Here is a 15,850-nt window from a genome sequence, read left to right on the forward strand (position 1 = left end):
GAGCAGCTGGGGATCATGGTAAATTTTCTCTCGGATTTCAGAGCTCCATGGATTTGTGTTTTGAGCTCTGAGTTTCTTTGAGCAAATTTCTGTTCCAAACTGCTATCCAGCCATGACTGGCTGGATGTTTTAGAAGTTATGACAGAAAAGGGACTGGGTCCAGGATCAGATTTGATCCAGTAGTTAACTGGCTTGAATCCAGTTCCAGTTAGAGGCCTCCTACATCTGACTGGGTCAGAAGGAAAGTGGTAGTAAATGATAATATTGGAAGGTTGTAACATTTGGCTTTTGAAAATTCACAGGGATTTTTGTGTTCTACCCCTTTGTTTCATTTTTCTCGCATGCTTAGGCAGGAAAAAAAATCATTGGCTAAGTTAATGAAGGGAACCTGGGAGTAAAGCCAATATTTTAGGTAAAAATAGGATCCTTAATTTCTGGAAAACTAAGCTCCTTCTGGCTAATACATTAGGCCTGGGAAGCAGCAAAGTCTTACAGAAATGGCAAAATCTTATTAAGATAACTTACAGTGGAACATTCCAAATGAATAATGCCCTGAAGTGCATTTAAAAATGAGGGCTCCCAAATTAGTCTCATCTAGGGATGCCTATTAATATGCAGAAGCTTCTAAAAAGATTTAGAGATGGCACGACCCATCTGGGAGCAAGTTTGAGTCTTACCAGTTTGATACTCGGTGCTGAGCAAAGTGGCACGTGTCTATGTTTTGTCACATGTATTTTGCTCTGGGCAGAATGAAAAATGTTAATTTGGTTACTCCAAGCAACCCCTTGGGCAGCATCTTGCAAAGCTGAGTGGATTATTCCTGTGATTCCATGATTTTCCATTGTGATGCAGCTTGGCCCCCAGAGCTATAATGTGGTGAGGAGGGTGACAGAGCAAGATGCAATCTTTAAAAAAAAAAAATGGCCAGGTGCAGTGGCTCGTGCCTGTAATCCCAACACTTGGGGAGGCTGAGGCAGGTGGATCACCTGAGGTCAGGAGTTCAGGGCCAGCCTGACCAACAAGGAAAAACCCCGTCTCTACTAAAAACACAAAATTAGCTGGGCATGGTGGCACATGCCTCTAATCCCAGCTACTCAGGAGGCTGGGGCAGGAGAATCGCTTGAACCCGGGAGGCAGAGGGTTGCAGTGAACCGAAATCACACCATTGCACTCCAGCCTGGGCAACAAGAGGGAAAATCCATCTCAAAAAAAAAAAAAAAAGAAAGAATAATAGGTTTGTCTATAAGGTTTTATGAAAAAGTAGGTGACATTTGGCTTTCTCTCTTTAAAGAAGATGTTCAGGTAATATTAAAAAATAATGAAAAATTTGTTTGCCTTTTAAATAAACTACCAAAAAAAAAAAAAAAGGAAAAACAAGAGGCAGATCGTTTGTGAAGATAAGTCTTCCCTCTATCAATCAGTAAAGATTTTTGCCCTTTAAAACTTTTTTAAGTCATGATTTTAAGTAAATGAATGACTTACGGTGACCTGGAATTCTATTTCATAACATCAAGTGTTTAAACTTTTAATATATTTAATAGGCTTCCCAAAATCAAATTTCAACTTCAAAATTGTCTTTTCTGACCTCTAACTTTGGGATACTACAGAGGCCCTTGAAGCACCCAAAAGAGAGGTAAACAGGACTATTTAACATGTTAAGTCACATGGGTAGCACTGTCAAAATAAAACATAATGTTGAACCTTCTTCAGGTTATATTTAGTTTATTTCATCAACCCGTTCTAAAATTGTATAGGATTTCTAAAATTCTTTTTTTTTTTTCCCCCGAAACGGAGTCTTGCTCTGTCACCAAGGCTGGAGTACAGTGGCACAATCTCGGCTCACTGCAACCTCCGCCTCCTGGGTTCATGTCATTCTCCTGCTTCAGCCTCCCGAGTAGCTGGGACTACAGGCATCCACCACCATGCCAAGCTAATTTTTGTATTTTTAGTAGAGACGGGGTTTCACCGTGTTAGCCAGGATGTTCTCATCTCTTGACCTCGTGATCCTTCCACCTCGGCCTCCCAAAGTGCTGGGATTACAGGCGTGAGCCACTGCAACTGGCCAGGATTCTAAAATTCTAATATGCCTATATGCTATCTATCATAATTACCTGTTTTGTTTGTTTTGAGACAGAGTTTCGCTCTTGTCACCTAGGCTGGAGTGCAATGGTGTGATCTAGGCTCACTGAAGCCTCCACCTCCTGGGTTCAAGCATTTATCCTGCCTCAGCCTCCCAAGTAGCTGGGATTACAGACAACTGCCACCACATCCGGCTAATTTTTTTTTATTTTTAGTAGAGACAGGGTTTTACCATGTTGGCCAGGCTGGTCTCAAACTCCTGACCTCAGGTGATCCACCTAACTTGGCCTCTCAAAGAGCTGGGATTACAGGAATGAGCCACCACATCCACCCTAATTATGGTTATTAAGTTATTGTAGACCACAGAAATAACCAAATTTCCTTATCAATTGTCTTTAACTATAACTATTTAAAGTCATTTCCACAGTTAATTGCTTAATGGTGATGCAGTTTCTAAAAACTTCACAAGCATGCAAAATTCTAGAATAGAAGATTCATGAAAGAATGAAAAGGACCATGAAAAACACTCGGGAACACAGGTTTCTAATAACTTTAATATCATGGGTAAAAATTCCCCATAAGTTCCCCGATCCCCCAATAATTGGACTGGTTAAGAATTCTCAAAAGTTAGGCTGGGTGCAGTGGCTCATGTTGGCAATCCCAGCACTTTGGGAGGCTGAGGCCGGTGGATCACTTGAGGTCAGGAGTTTGAGACCAGCCTGGCCAATGGTGAAACCCCGCCTCTACTAAAACTACAAAAATTAGCCGGGTGTGGTGGTATGCATCTGTAATCCCAGCTACTCGGGAGGCTGAGGCAGGAGAATCACTTGAACCCAGGAGGCGGGGGTTGCAGTGAGCCAAGATTGTGCCACTGCACTCCAACCTAGGTAACAGAGTGAGACTCTGTCTCAAAAAAAAAAAAAAATCCTAAAGTTTAATAAGAAGACCAACTGGTTTATAAAACTGCTAACCCAAGTAAAACAAAAATTGAATATCAAGGAAATATTTTGCCAGATTCGCATGCTAAATCACCAATATTGAAATTGTTTAGATATATAATTTAAATAAACTCCATGGTCTAAGCCAAATTACCTATAACTCATCAGTTACCAGTGCCATGCACCTAATTTGAAGAAACAGCTGGTATTCAAGAGGATGTAAGTCTAACGTTAATTAAGCACGGACTTATGAAGAACCAGGATGGCCACCTTTCCGTCTTAAGTCCTTAAAACTTTTGTTATTAAAAGTTCTGCATTCCATAACTCATCATGGAAAGAGAAAATGATCCAAATTAAATATATTGCTGTGGTGATCTCTAAATTGCTAAAATAGTTTATAATCAATGTTTGGTTTGTTGAACCTATATTCCTAGGAAAACAATCAAAACTTCAGGTACATTTGGTTACCTGATGGGCCATTTAAACATTTTATAAAGGGATTTCATTCAGTTGTCATTTTCAGTGCATGTTTTCTGATTGTAAAAAAGCTCTTCCATGCAAGAGGGTTGATGTTAAAACAGTAGATTATTATGCTGAAGTGTATTTTCACCAGCTAAAGAAAGCCTTTTATGGTTCACAGAGGACAGCCAACCCCTTCACAATCTAGAATCTGATGACTGGATCTTCTGAGAACATCAGAGGACTGCCCTTGCCATTCACATGACAGCAAAACTTTAAAACCTTAAACTTTGGGTTCATAGTCTTACAACTCAGAAGGGTCCCTCCACACTCGGAACCATACACCCCTTGGAACCCTTAAGGTAAAGCTAACAAGGACAGTTCCCCCCAGAAGAAGATGGCATCCTTAATGTGAACAGCTTTTCCTAAGATCACAGATCAAGACTTCTCTACTATCATGAGACTCTTATCTTAAGTATCTGTGCAGCTGCTAACATGGCATATGGAGAAAACATCGGGTATTATAAAGATTTGGTTGTAGGGAATTAACAAAAAAACCCACTTAGTTAAGCAAGTAAACTCTTTATCTAATTCATTCTTTAATCTATTTGATTTTAGGTGGTTTGATTTATGGGGACCCTGAGTAAGGAGCATATACCAAATTCTTGGTGTTATCCCAATAGTCATAAGAGTCTCCCTGGTGCACTGTACTTACTCAAATGTTTTAAGAGTTTGCATACAGCCATCTGTAAAATGTCAAATGGTATCTCTTCAACTGGAATGACAACAGATTAAAAAAAATGTGCAACCATAAGGACACCGTAACCTATGAGTGACATGCTAAACCAGAAACCCAAAACAATGGGAGTGACATGCTAAACCAGAAACCCAAAACAATGGGACTGATGTACTAAAACCGGAACCCAAAACAATGGGAGTGATGTACTAAAACCAGAACCCAAAACAATGGAAGTGACGTGCTAAACCAGAAACCCAAAACAATGGGAGTAACATGCTAAAACCAGAACCCAAAACAATGGGAGTGACGTGCTAAAACCATTACCCAAAACAATGGGAGTGATGTGCTAAACCGGAAACCCAAAACAATGGTAACTAAGAGTGAGGCTAAGGCCCTACATTTTGGTCACACTCTCAACTAAGTGAGAACTTGACTGAAAAGGAGGATTTTTTTTTTCTGAGACAGAGTCTTGCTCTGTCCCCCAGAGTGGAGTGCAGTGGCATGATCTCGGCTCACTGCAAGCTCTGCCTCCTGGGTTCAGGCCATTCTCCTGCCTCAGCCTCCTGAGTAGCTGGGACTACAGGCACCCGCCAGCATGCTTGGCTATTTTTTTGTGTATTTAGTAGAGATGAGGTTTCACCGTATTAGCAAGGATGGTCTCAATCTCCTGATCTCGTGATCTGCCCACCTCGGCCTCCCAAAGTGCTGGGATTACAGGCATGAGCCACCGTGCCCAGCCAAAAGGAGGAATTTTTTAAGCAAAATTATGGGAGGCCATTGTTTTGAACTAAGCTCATGCAATAGGTCCCAAAAGAACAAACCAAACCAAAATGGAGTCACTCATGCTAAATGGAACATAATCAAACTAAGACTTTAAGGAAACACATAAATCCTAGAACAAACCAGGTTTTGTTTTTCTCCTGTAAACAGGATGTTCCAGCATAAGAAGACACCTTCTACTCAAGTCCTTGTTCCACCTTTTCAAATCTCACTGTTCTATTTCCCAGTGGGTTTCTAAACCAAATAAATACATTTGCAAGGGTAATAGTGACACCAGTGACTGAAGTTTTGGCCAATCTCTCAAAATTGAGAAAATAACCAAAGGGAAGGCATTGTTAAAGTGAACTAAGTATGTCCTGAGAAGGACTCCATAATTATATATATGAGTCCTTGTGGATGACCTGCAACCTACCTTAATAGGTAAACAAGAATGAAAACCTAACTTGAGTGTATGCACCTCAAACAACAGCTACATCTTGGCCAATCCCAATGGCCAAACTTCAACCACTCAGGCACTGCCAAATGTTCAAACTGTGCTCAAACAAGGCAAACGCTGAGTTGTTTCTGTACCTCACTTCCGATTTCGGTATGCCACTTCCCTTTTGTCTATAAATCTTCTTCCACCACATGACTGTGCTGGAGTCTCTGTGAATCTGCTGTGATTCTGGGGACTTTCCGATTCATGAATCGTTTATTGCTCAATTAAACTCCTTTAAAGTTTTTCTTTTAACAGAACTAACACGGAAGAATTTCCAGATCATGAACAGATGTTTTGTAATACCCAACGTTGTATTAACATGAATAGACTCTTCCTTAGATAGCTAACCTTGTTTTTAATATGAATAGACTCTCCCTTAGCTGAGAAAACCAGACAAACTCCATTTGGCTCCTTCATTTACAAGACATCAAGGGCTCCTTACCCACCCCCTTTCCTCAAGGACTTTAACTTGTGCAAGCTGATTTTCAACATATCAAAGAGTGCAATTAACTGATAAAGTGCTGAGGCAAGTGAAGTCCGCAGTTTCCAGCAAATTACTCAGAGATAATATCATAAAGCCCCCACATTTGTCTGGAAGATAATGCCCAGAGCCCCCTCACTCATCACTTTGTGGTGAATTTAAAGCCTCTGCACCTGGAACAATTTGTTTTCCTGTAACCATCTGTCTTTTTAAGTTTTTTGTCTGTTTTTTCTTCTGTAAGTTTATTGCAGCTGGAATCCCCCCTCCCCTCTCTAAACCAATGTATAAAAGAAAATCTAGCCCATTCTTTAGGGCCGAGAGTATTTCCTGTGTTAGCCGTCTCTCAGTCACCAGCTAATAAAGGACTCCTGAATTCGTCTCAAAGTGTGGCATTTCTCTCTAACTTGCTTGGGTACGACAGTTTCAACTATGGTAGAAGACTCGAGTAAGACAAATACAGCCCCCCTAAATTTGACTATTATTTAGGTTAATGGTGAGTTTAGAAGAAATAAGTTAAGACTACACAGAGTGGGCTAAATTGCAAATAAACACTGAAAATATTTCCCAGAAAATATGACTTTGAACAGGCTGCTGCACACCCTGCATGTAGAGATAAACTAAGAAAAATGTGTGGAGAGTTATTTAAGGACCTGTGGTTAACTCAGTCCTCAAGATGTTCCGGGTTTCATCCATAAGTCAAGGAGGACCTCCCAAAAGCTGTTTGGGACCACACTCTTTGAGCAAGGAGCATACCTTATGATGGAAGCTGTGCTTTAGCAGCAGATGACCATTTCCACTGCACAACACGCCGTGCTTTAGCAGACGATGACCATTTCCACTGTACAACATGCTGTGCTTTAGCTTCAGATGACCATTTCCACTGCACAACACGCCATGCTTTAGCGGAAGATGACCATTTCCACTGCACAACACGCCATGCCTTAGCGGAAGATGACTGTTTCCACTGCACAACACTACAAGTGCTTACTGCCAGACCGGTGTGAAATATGTTCCAGCACATAATCTATGTCACCAATGAAGGTGGTGGTTAAGACTTGGTGCACACAAGCTTTCCTGTCCCACAAGAACACAGCATGCTCTCTTTTCGGGTTCCATTCCAATCACGTAACAAACATGACTGCCTTTTTTGTTTCGGCATCAGAAAGATCAGAGGAAACTTTGCACTCAACTTAGACAACTCTAAGCTTTTATAACCTGTCTATATCTACAGGTCAGCTTTATCTTATTTATGTATATTTCCTTCAACCTGAGTTTTACTTATTTCCACTTTTCCTTTTTAATTCACAGACACCCATAAACTCAGAAAATACAGTGTAAAACAAAGTGAAGAACAAATAAACAACTCACCAGAGATTTATTCGTTTCTTGTTGCTCTTGGAAACACCCAGAGGACACTGGAAACATAGCTGGAAGAGAAGGCAAATGACGTCGATTAAGGAGAGAACTGGTGAGGTGTGGTCCCAGATTCTTCTGCCCAACACTCTAGACACATTACCTGGAAAAGCCCTCCTCCCTCCGGAAAAAGAAAAACTTCCCCATGGGAGAAGAGTCCTTCACACCTCATTAGGGGCAGCAAAGACTCAAGTTAAGATAAGATACATCTACAAGTACATTAATTGGTAGACATTAGATGCACAATTTATTTTTGAATAAAAATATGTATTACCTACTAATTTAGTAACAATATTACCTAAAGATATAATCTAATAATTTAATACAAAGAAACATTATAAGTTCACTAAAATAAATGTTATAGAAATATACTGGGCTGTATTAACTATTTTCCTATTAATATGTGGATTCCACAAATAACTTCATATGAGTATTCCCATGACAGTACATCTTGCTTTTCTATACCTGAACATCATGGAAAGTGCATCTTGCAACCCAACAATTTTGGCCTACGTTTTTTAAAATGTACATAATATGTATTTCCTGCAGTACACCATTCTACTCATGTTTCCCAATAACACCTTTCCCTGTATCCAAGCCCTCATATTATGCTCTGACAATAAATTGGGCTTTTCCATCTGACTTGTCCAGTGAATGGACAATGGAAAATGTGATGCAAATATCCATTGGTTCTTGCCTTTTTGGACACAGTCATATTGTGAAGAGGTCTGGAGCTACCCTGTTGGAGACACAGGGCCTAGCCAAGAGTCACCACAAACCACCAGATTGTGAAGGAAACTATCTTAAACCAACCAGGCTCAGTCAAGGCACCAGGTGACTAAGGCCTGTTTTGTGATCCAGGCAACACAAATATATCAACTACCCAGCTGAACCCACCACACCAAAATGCAGATCCACAGAACTTCAAACAAATAAAATGGTGGTTGTTTTTTATAAGCTAGTAAGGTTTAATTAGTTCCTTAAACAGCAAATATTAACTGTTACACCTAAGTGAATAGAATTCAATATGTTTTTAACGAAATTATGTAGGGGGAGAAAGTCTTAAATTACAAATCAAATGCAATCAATAGAACTTCACAATCTATGCTAAATTTGGTGATGGACTAGGTTTAATATATCTCAGACACTGGAAACAACAAGCTAAGTTTGAAGGAATGGGACTGTATTTGGAGAGTATTTCCATCTTTTCAAGTATGACAGGTCACTCCTGCACCCCAGACCACACTTTCAGGCCCCTTCAAATAAGGAATATTTCCTAGGTCCTTGCCTGTTCTTCTCAGCTGAATTCACCTCAACCTTCTGAAAGTTCTTCCAAACCTTTCACTATCACCTAGTCTTTGCAAATCTTGTGCATTCTAGGGAGTAGAATTAATATTTCCTGAGCGAGGAAAACTGGGATCTTCACCTGCGACCTTTTATCCTCCTCTGAAGCACCAGTGAGAGGTTAGACCAGAGGGCTGTTCTTTCAAGTGCGCTTCTTATTCATAGGGAACCCTCCCTTTCAAACTTTATAACACACAGTGAAGACTGAAGTACCCTTAAGGCTGAAGACCATTATCCAGTACCCTATCTCCCTGGCGGAATCAGTGAGTTCCTCCATGGAAACTAGGTCTCGTATAAACTTCCATAAATGCAATCCAGGAGGACTAGGCAGGTCACACAGTGAAGGAGGGAACCAGAAACTTCACTTGCTAAATAGACACCAGGAAACCCAACTAATACAAACGCCCAGCTTAAGACTAGAGGCACACGCATTTCGCACTACTCCTCTGGGAATGGGGAACGTCTCCCCAGAACTGTGTGTTAGCACGGGGACAGATGGGCAAACTGAGCTACATGAGGGTTGGTAACCGGGTCCCTCAGCGGCAGGACAGGAGCGCGGCCTGCAGACTCCGGGCCCAGGGCCACCAGCCTCGCCTACCCACTCCTGCGCCTCTGGAACCCGCTTCACTGCTGGGACCCCACGTCTGTCCTCCCAGCCCCCGCCAGGGTCCACGGCCCGCAAATGCACGTCAGGCCCCTCCTGCCCGCGATGTGCCCACGCGTCTGCCCCCACAAATGGGGAACACTGGTCTGGCCCCCCGGGATCCCCCGAGGCCCACAGGTTCCTCTTCGCCCTCGCACCTACCCACAGGGACATAGAACCAAGCCCCAGGGCTGCTCAGCTACACGACCGCCGCTGGGATCCGCACTTCCGGAGGAAAATGGCGAAGTGGGCGGGGCGGCGCATGCGCAGAGAGAAAAGCTGGTTCCCAAGGTCCTTGATGGTAACATCATTGGAAGGTGACACTACATTTCCTATGAGGCTCTGCGGTCCCCCGTTAGGAACGCACGCCGGACATTCTGTTTTTCCCAGCAGTGAGTCCAGTTACCCGGAGACCCGGACTTAATGGATCAGGACTGGTCCCTACCCACGTGACACAGATGTGGCATTCTGGTTCGTTATTAAATCCTGGTTTCACAGCCTGGGACATTGTGAAAATAATGGAGAAATTCCAATAGAAACCAATTGGTCTATGCTGTTAATGAGTAACTTTTTTTTTTTTTGAGATGGAGTCTCGCTCTGTCACCCAGGCTGGAGTGCAATGGTGCGATCTTGGCTCACTGCAAACTCTGCCTCCCAGGTTCAAGAGATTCTCCTGCCTCAACCTCCTGAGTATCTGGGATTACAGGCGGGCGCCACCACACTTGCCTAATTTTTGTATTTTTAGTAGAAACGGGGTTTCACCATGTTGGTCAGGCTGGTCTCTAACTCCTAACCTCGTAATCCGCCCTCCTAGGCCTCCCAAAGTGCTGGGATTACAGGCGTGAGCCACCGCGCCCAGCCCTCAAGTCTATTTTTTATAGATGCATTCAAAAGCATGAAAAAAATCATGTCTCTATTTTACTTTAAATTTTTAAAAACACAACTAATGAATATGGTAATTCTCTTCCAATCTGTTATCTTTTCTCTCACGAAACTAATTTGTGAGCTTTCAATTTACACAGTTAGAAAAAAATGCTCTAGTGTATATACTAGGATAAAATATCAGGGTCATAAGACAAGTGCACTCCATAATCTTTGTGACAACTTACACTTCCAGTGTCTGATGAACATTTGCCCATAAACTCCCACGTTTCATCCATCCATCCATCAATCAAATCTACCTATCTTTATTTATTTATTGTGCGAAATACCTGAACTTTGCCTTTCCTTCCCTGATTTCTGCCACAAACTAGGCAAGGAGTTCTGCCTAGGGGTTTTTCAGAGCTTCGGTTACCACCGAGGTTCCTAACAGGGAAATTCCCAGCTTGAATGCTTGGGGTTGATGTGGGAGTGCGTGTGAAACGGGTGTGGGGTGAAAGGACAGTGAAATTTGTAGGTGGGTAGATGGGGGTGTGAAGGGCTTTCAGGTAAGAGGCACAGAGGAAACTGGGAGAGGCAGCGAAAGCACTTCATACCTCAGATAACCAGAAGATGCTCCCACCAGCGCCATGACAGTTTGCCAGTGCCATGGCAACACAGGAAGTCCCCACCCCTTGCCATGGAAACAGCTGGAAGTTACTGCCCATTTCTAGCTATTTCTGAGTAACCCGCCCCTTAATTAGCATGTCATTAAAAGTGAATTATAAAAATGACTACAAGCCACCCCTAGGCTGCTACTCTGGGAGCACAACCCACAGAGGGCTCCCTGCCCTGCAGGAGTGGACGCAGGGCTGTAACACCGCCAATGCCTCCATAGAGCTGCTTTATTCCACCACAGGCTTGCTTTTGGATTCCTTCCTGAGCGACGCCAAGAACCTGCCCTTCCTCAGTGTGACTCTTGCCTAAAATCTATCCCTGGTTTTCTCTTTTCCTAAGCATGCCCTGACTTGTTCTTTCATCTCCTCTGAACTTGCAATTGCTCCTCAGTGACTCTATTCTGCAGATCCAGAAAACTCAACCTTAATCTTCCCAGAGCCCTGTTGTCTCCAATATTGGAAACTCTAGCCTTGCTTTCTCAGATGCCTAGATTACAGGCCTCTCTCTTGAACACCTATTGGTAAGATATCCGGGGATCCTTTAAATACACGATGATTGGCAGGGTTTACATAGGGGAAATCAGTGCCTGACAATTCGCCTTCCAGGATATGGATTGTCATTCCCTCTCTTTGTGGGCCCCAGTCTCCTATACATAAAAGTAGAGATTATAATACTCATTTGACTTGCAGATACCTCACCCCGAACCCACCTACTATAATGTAAAAGCCAAGAATGCAAACCCTTTCCTCACCCCGTGAAGGTAAAATCCTCAGAGCCAAGGAGAGAAGGCTCAGGGATGGTACCTGGGTGTTTCCAACACTAACCATGCATTGTAGTTTTTAGTGTTCAAGTTTAAGCTTCTTATGTTAAAGTTACCCCAGCTTTAATTATATTGTAACAAGATTTATTTTTGTAATTCCATTTTTGGATTCTTGATTTCTTGGTAAAGAAATACAGTTATTTTTGTATACCAATCTTATATAGTGTTACATTCCAAAATTTGTTCATGAGTCCTAACACTTTTTAGTAAATTTCTTATGATTTTCTAAATGCAAGATCATGTCATCTGTACATAAAGATAACTGTACTTCTTCCTTTCCAATCTAGATGCCGTTTATTTATTTACATTACCAAGTTGTCCCAGCTACCACTGTTATCAAGTAAAAGGGTCTCACTGCCCAAAGCTCTAGAAGCCAGTAACATGACACTGAGTTTTTGAGAAGAGAAAAACTTTAAAGTCAAACCAAAACCTATGGGATACAGGCCAGGCGCAGTGGCTCATGCCTGTAATCCCAGCACTTTGGGAGGCCGAGTCGGGTGGATCACAAGGTCAGGAGATCAAGACCGTCCTGGCTAACACGGTGAAACCCCGTCTCTACTAAAAATACAAAAAACAAAAATTAGCTGGGCATGGTGGCGGGCACCTGTAGTCCCAGCTACTCAACTGAGGCGGGAGAATGGCATGAACCCAGAAGGCAGAGCTTGTAGTAAGCCAAGATTGCACCACTGCACTCCAGCCTGGGCAACAGAGAGAAACTCCGTCTCCAAAAATAAACAAAAACAAAAAAACAAAAAACAAACCTATGGGATACAGTAAAAACAGTACTAAGGAGTAAGTTTATAGCTAAAAGCACCTACATCAAAGAAAGTAGAAAAACTTCAAATAAACAACCTAATAATGCATCTTAAATAGTTAGAAAAGCAAGAGCAAACCAAAACCAAAATTAGTAGAAGGAAACATAACAAAGATCAGAGCAGAAATAAATGAAATTGAAATTTAAAAATATAAAATATCAATGAAATGAAAAGTTAATATTTTTTTAAAAGATCAACAAAATCAACAAACATTTAGCCATACTAAGAGAAAAGAGAGAAGACTCAAATACATAAAACCAGAGATTAAAAAGGAGACACTGCAACTGATACTGCAGAAATTCAAGTAATCATTAGAAACTATTATGACCAACTATATTCCAATAAATTGAAAAACCTGCAAGTAATGGCCAGGTACCGTGGTTCATTCCTGTAATCCCAACACTTTGGGAAGCCAAGGCAGGTGATCACCTGAGATCAGGAGTTCAAGACCAGCCTGGCCAACATGGTGAAACCCCATCTCTACTAAAAATACAAAAATTAGCCAGGCATGGTGGCATGCACCTGTACTCCCAGCTACTCCAGAGGCTGAGGCAGGAGAATCGCTTGAACCTGGGAGGCAGAAGTTGCAGTGAGCTGAGATTGTACCAAGCTCCATCCTGGGTGACAGAGCAAGACTCCATCCTGGGTGACAGAGCAAGACTCCATCTCAAAAAAAAAAAAAAAAAAAAACAACACAACCAAACCACAAACCTAGAAGAACTGGATAAATGAGATTGAACCCATAATAAAACATCTCCTAGCAAAGAAAAGCCTGGATCCAATGGCTTCACTGATTAATTTTACCAAACATTGAAGGAAGAATTACTATCAATCCTACTCAAACTATTCCAAAAAACAGAGAAGTCTGTAATATTTCCAAAATCATTCTATGAAAAAGACCATTCATCTTGTCTAAGTGGGATTCATCCCAAGGATGCCAACATGGTTCAACATATGCAAATCAATCAATGTGACACATCATATCAACAGAATGAAGGACAAAAAACATATGGTAATTTCAATTGATGCTGAAAAGCATTTAATAAAATCCAACTTCCCTGTGATAAAAAGAAACCCCCAAAAAAACTAGATTTAGAAGGAACATACCACAACACAATAAAAACCATATGCAACAAACCCTCAGCCAGTATCATCCTGAACAGAGATAAACTGAAAGCCTTTCTTCTAAGATCTGGAACAAGGCAAGAATGTCCACTTCCAACAATGTTACTCAACATAGTACTGGAAGTCCTAGCTAGAGCAATCAAGAAAATTGAAAAACAGTAAAGGGCATCCAAATTTAAAGAAATAAAATTATTATTGTTTTCTTGTTTGCAGGTGATTTGATCTTATATTTGGAAAAACCTAAGAACTCCACCAAAAAACTATCAGAACTGATCAACAAATTCAGAGTCACACGATACAAAATCAAAATGCAAAAATCAGTAACATTTCTAAATGTCAAAACTGAACAATCTAAAGAAGAAAATCAAGAACGTAATCCCATTTACAATAGCTACAAATAAAATAAAATATCTAGGAATAAATGTAACATAAGAAGTGAAAGATCTCTACGATGAAAACTATAGAACACCAATGCAAAAAAATTAAAGAAGACACCAAAAAAAAAATGGAAAGATAGTCCATGTTCATTGATTGGAAGAGTAAATATTGTTAAAATACACATACTTCACAAAGCAATCTACAGACCCAATGCAATCCCTATTGAAATATTAATAACATTCTTCACAGAAACAGAAAAAAAATCCTAAAATTTATATGAAATCATAAAAGAACCAGAATACCCAAAGCCATCCGTAGCAGAAAGAACAAAACTGGAAGAATCACATCACCTGACGTTAAATTATACTACAGAGCAATTGTAAGCTAAACAGCATGGTACTGTCATAAAACAGACACAGACCAATGGAACAGAATAGAGAACCCAGAAATAAATCCTTACATTTACAACTAACTCATTTTCAATGAAGGTGCCAAGAATATACATGGGGGAGAGGACAGTCTCTTCACCAAATCGTGCTGGGAAAACTAGATATTCATTGGCAGAATTTTTTTTTTTTGAGATGGAGTCTAGCTCTGTTGCTCAGGCTGCAGTGCAGTGGCGCGATCTGGGCTCACTGCAAGCTCCACCTCCCGGGTTCACACCATTCTCCTCCTCAGCCTCCCAAGTAGCTGGGAGTACAAGTGCCCCCATCACGCCCAGCTATTTTTTGTTTTGTATTTTTAGTAGAGACGGAGTTTCACCGTGTTAGCCAGGATGTTCTTGATATCCTGCTCTCAGGATCTGCCCACCTCAGCCTCCCAAAGTCATTGGCAGAATAATCAAACTAGAACCCTCTCTTGTGCTATATACAAAAATCAAATCCAAATGGGTTAAAGACTTAAATCAAGGACAAGAAACTACTGAAAGAAAACATTAGGGAAACTCTCCAGGAAATTGTTCTGGGCACAGATTTCTTGAGTAATACTCCAAAAGCTCAGGCAACCAAAGCAAAAATGAACAAATGGTATCACATGAAGTTCAAAAGTTTCTGCATAGTAAAGAAAACAATGGACAAAGTGAAAAGACAATCCACAGAATGGAAGAAAATATTTGCAAACTATATATCTGACAAGGGATTAATAACCAGAATATATAAGGAGTTCAAACAACTCTATAAGAAAAAAACTAATAATTCAATTATTTAAATGGGCAAAAAATCTGAACAGACATTTCTCAAAAGAAGGCATGCAGGTCAGGCGCAGTGGCTCACACCTGTAATTCCAGCATTTTGGGGAACCAAGACAGTTGGACCACTTGAGCCCAGGAGTTCAAGACCAACCTGAAAAACATAGCAAATAATTTTTAAACCTACCTGGGCATGGTGATGCATGCCTGTGGTCCCAGCTACTCAGGAGGCTGAGGTGGGAGGATTGCTTGAACCCTGGTAGTCATAACTACAGTAAGCCATCATTATACCACTGCACTCCAGCCTGGGTGACAGAGTGAGACACTGTCTCAAAAAATGAGCAAAAACAAAAAAGAAGATATATAAATGTCAAATAGGTATATGAAAAGATGCTCAATATCACTGATCATCAGAGAAATTCAAATCAAAACTACAATAAGATATCATCTTACCCCCATTAAAATGGCTTTTATGCAAAAGACAGGCAATAACAAATGCTTGCAAGAATGTAGGGAAAAGAGAACCCTCTTACTCTGTTGGTGGGAATGTAAATTAGTACATTCACTATGGAGAACAATATGGAGGTCCCTCAAAAAATTAAAAATAGAACTATCATATGATACAGCAATCCCACT

General features: G+C 41.1%; 1 pseudogene across 4 annotated transcripts in view; it reads right to left on the bottom strand.

Moving 5' to 3' along the window:
- MAFIP (MAFF interacting protein) overlaps positions 1-9,604 on the bottom strand; it is a 61,485-nt pseudogene extending 51,881 nt beyond the window's left edge. For all 4 annotated transcript variants that reach the window (NR_046440.2, NR_046441.2, NR_046439.2 and 1 more), the window contains exons 1-2: positions 9,517-9,604; positions 7,323-7,381 (exon numbers count right to left, since the gene is read on the bottom strand). The product of NR_046440.2 is annotated as an MAFF interacting protein, transcript variant 2 (transcript). The remainder of the gene's footprint in view (positions 1-7,322; positions 7,382-9,516) is intronic.
- Between the last annotated feature and the right edge of the window lie 6,246 nt (positions 9,605-15,850).

This window comes from Homo sapiens (assembly GCF_000001405.40).
Source record: "Homo sapiens chromosome 14 unlocalized genomic scaffold, GRCh38.p14 Primary Assembly HSCHR14_CTG4_UNLOCALIZED".
NCBI lineage: Eukaryota > Metazoa > Chordata > Mammalia > Primates > Hominidae > Homo > Homo sapiens.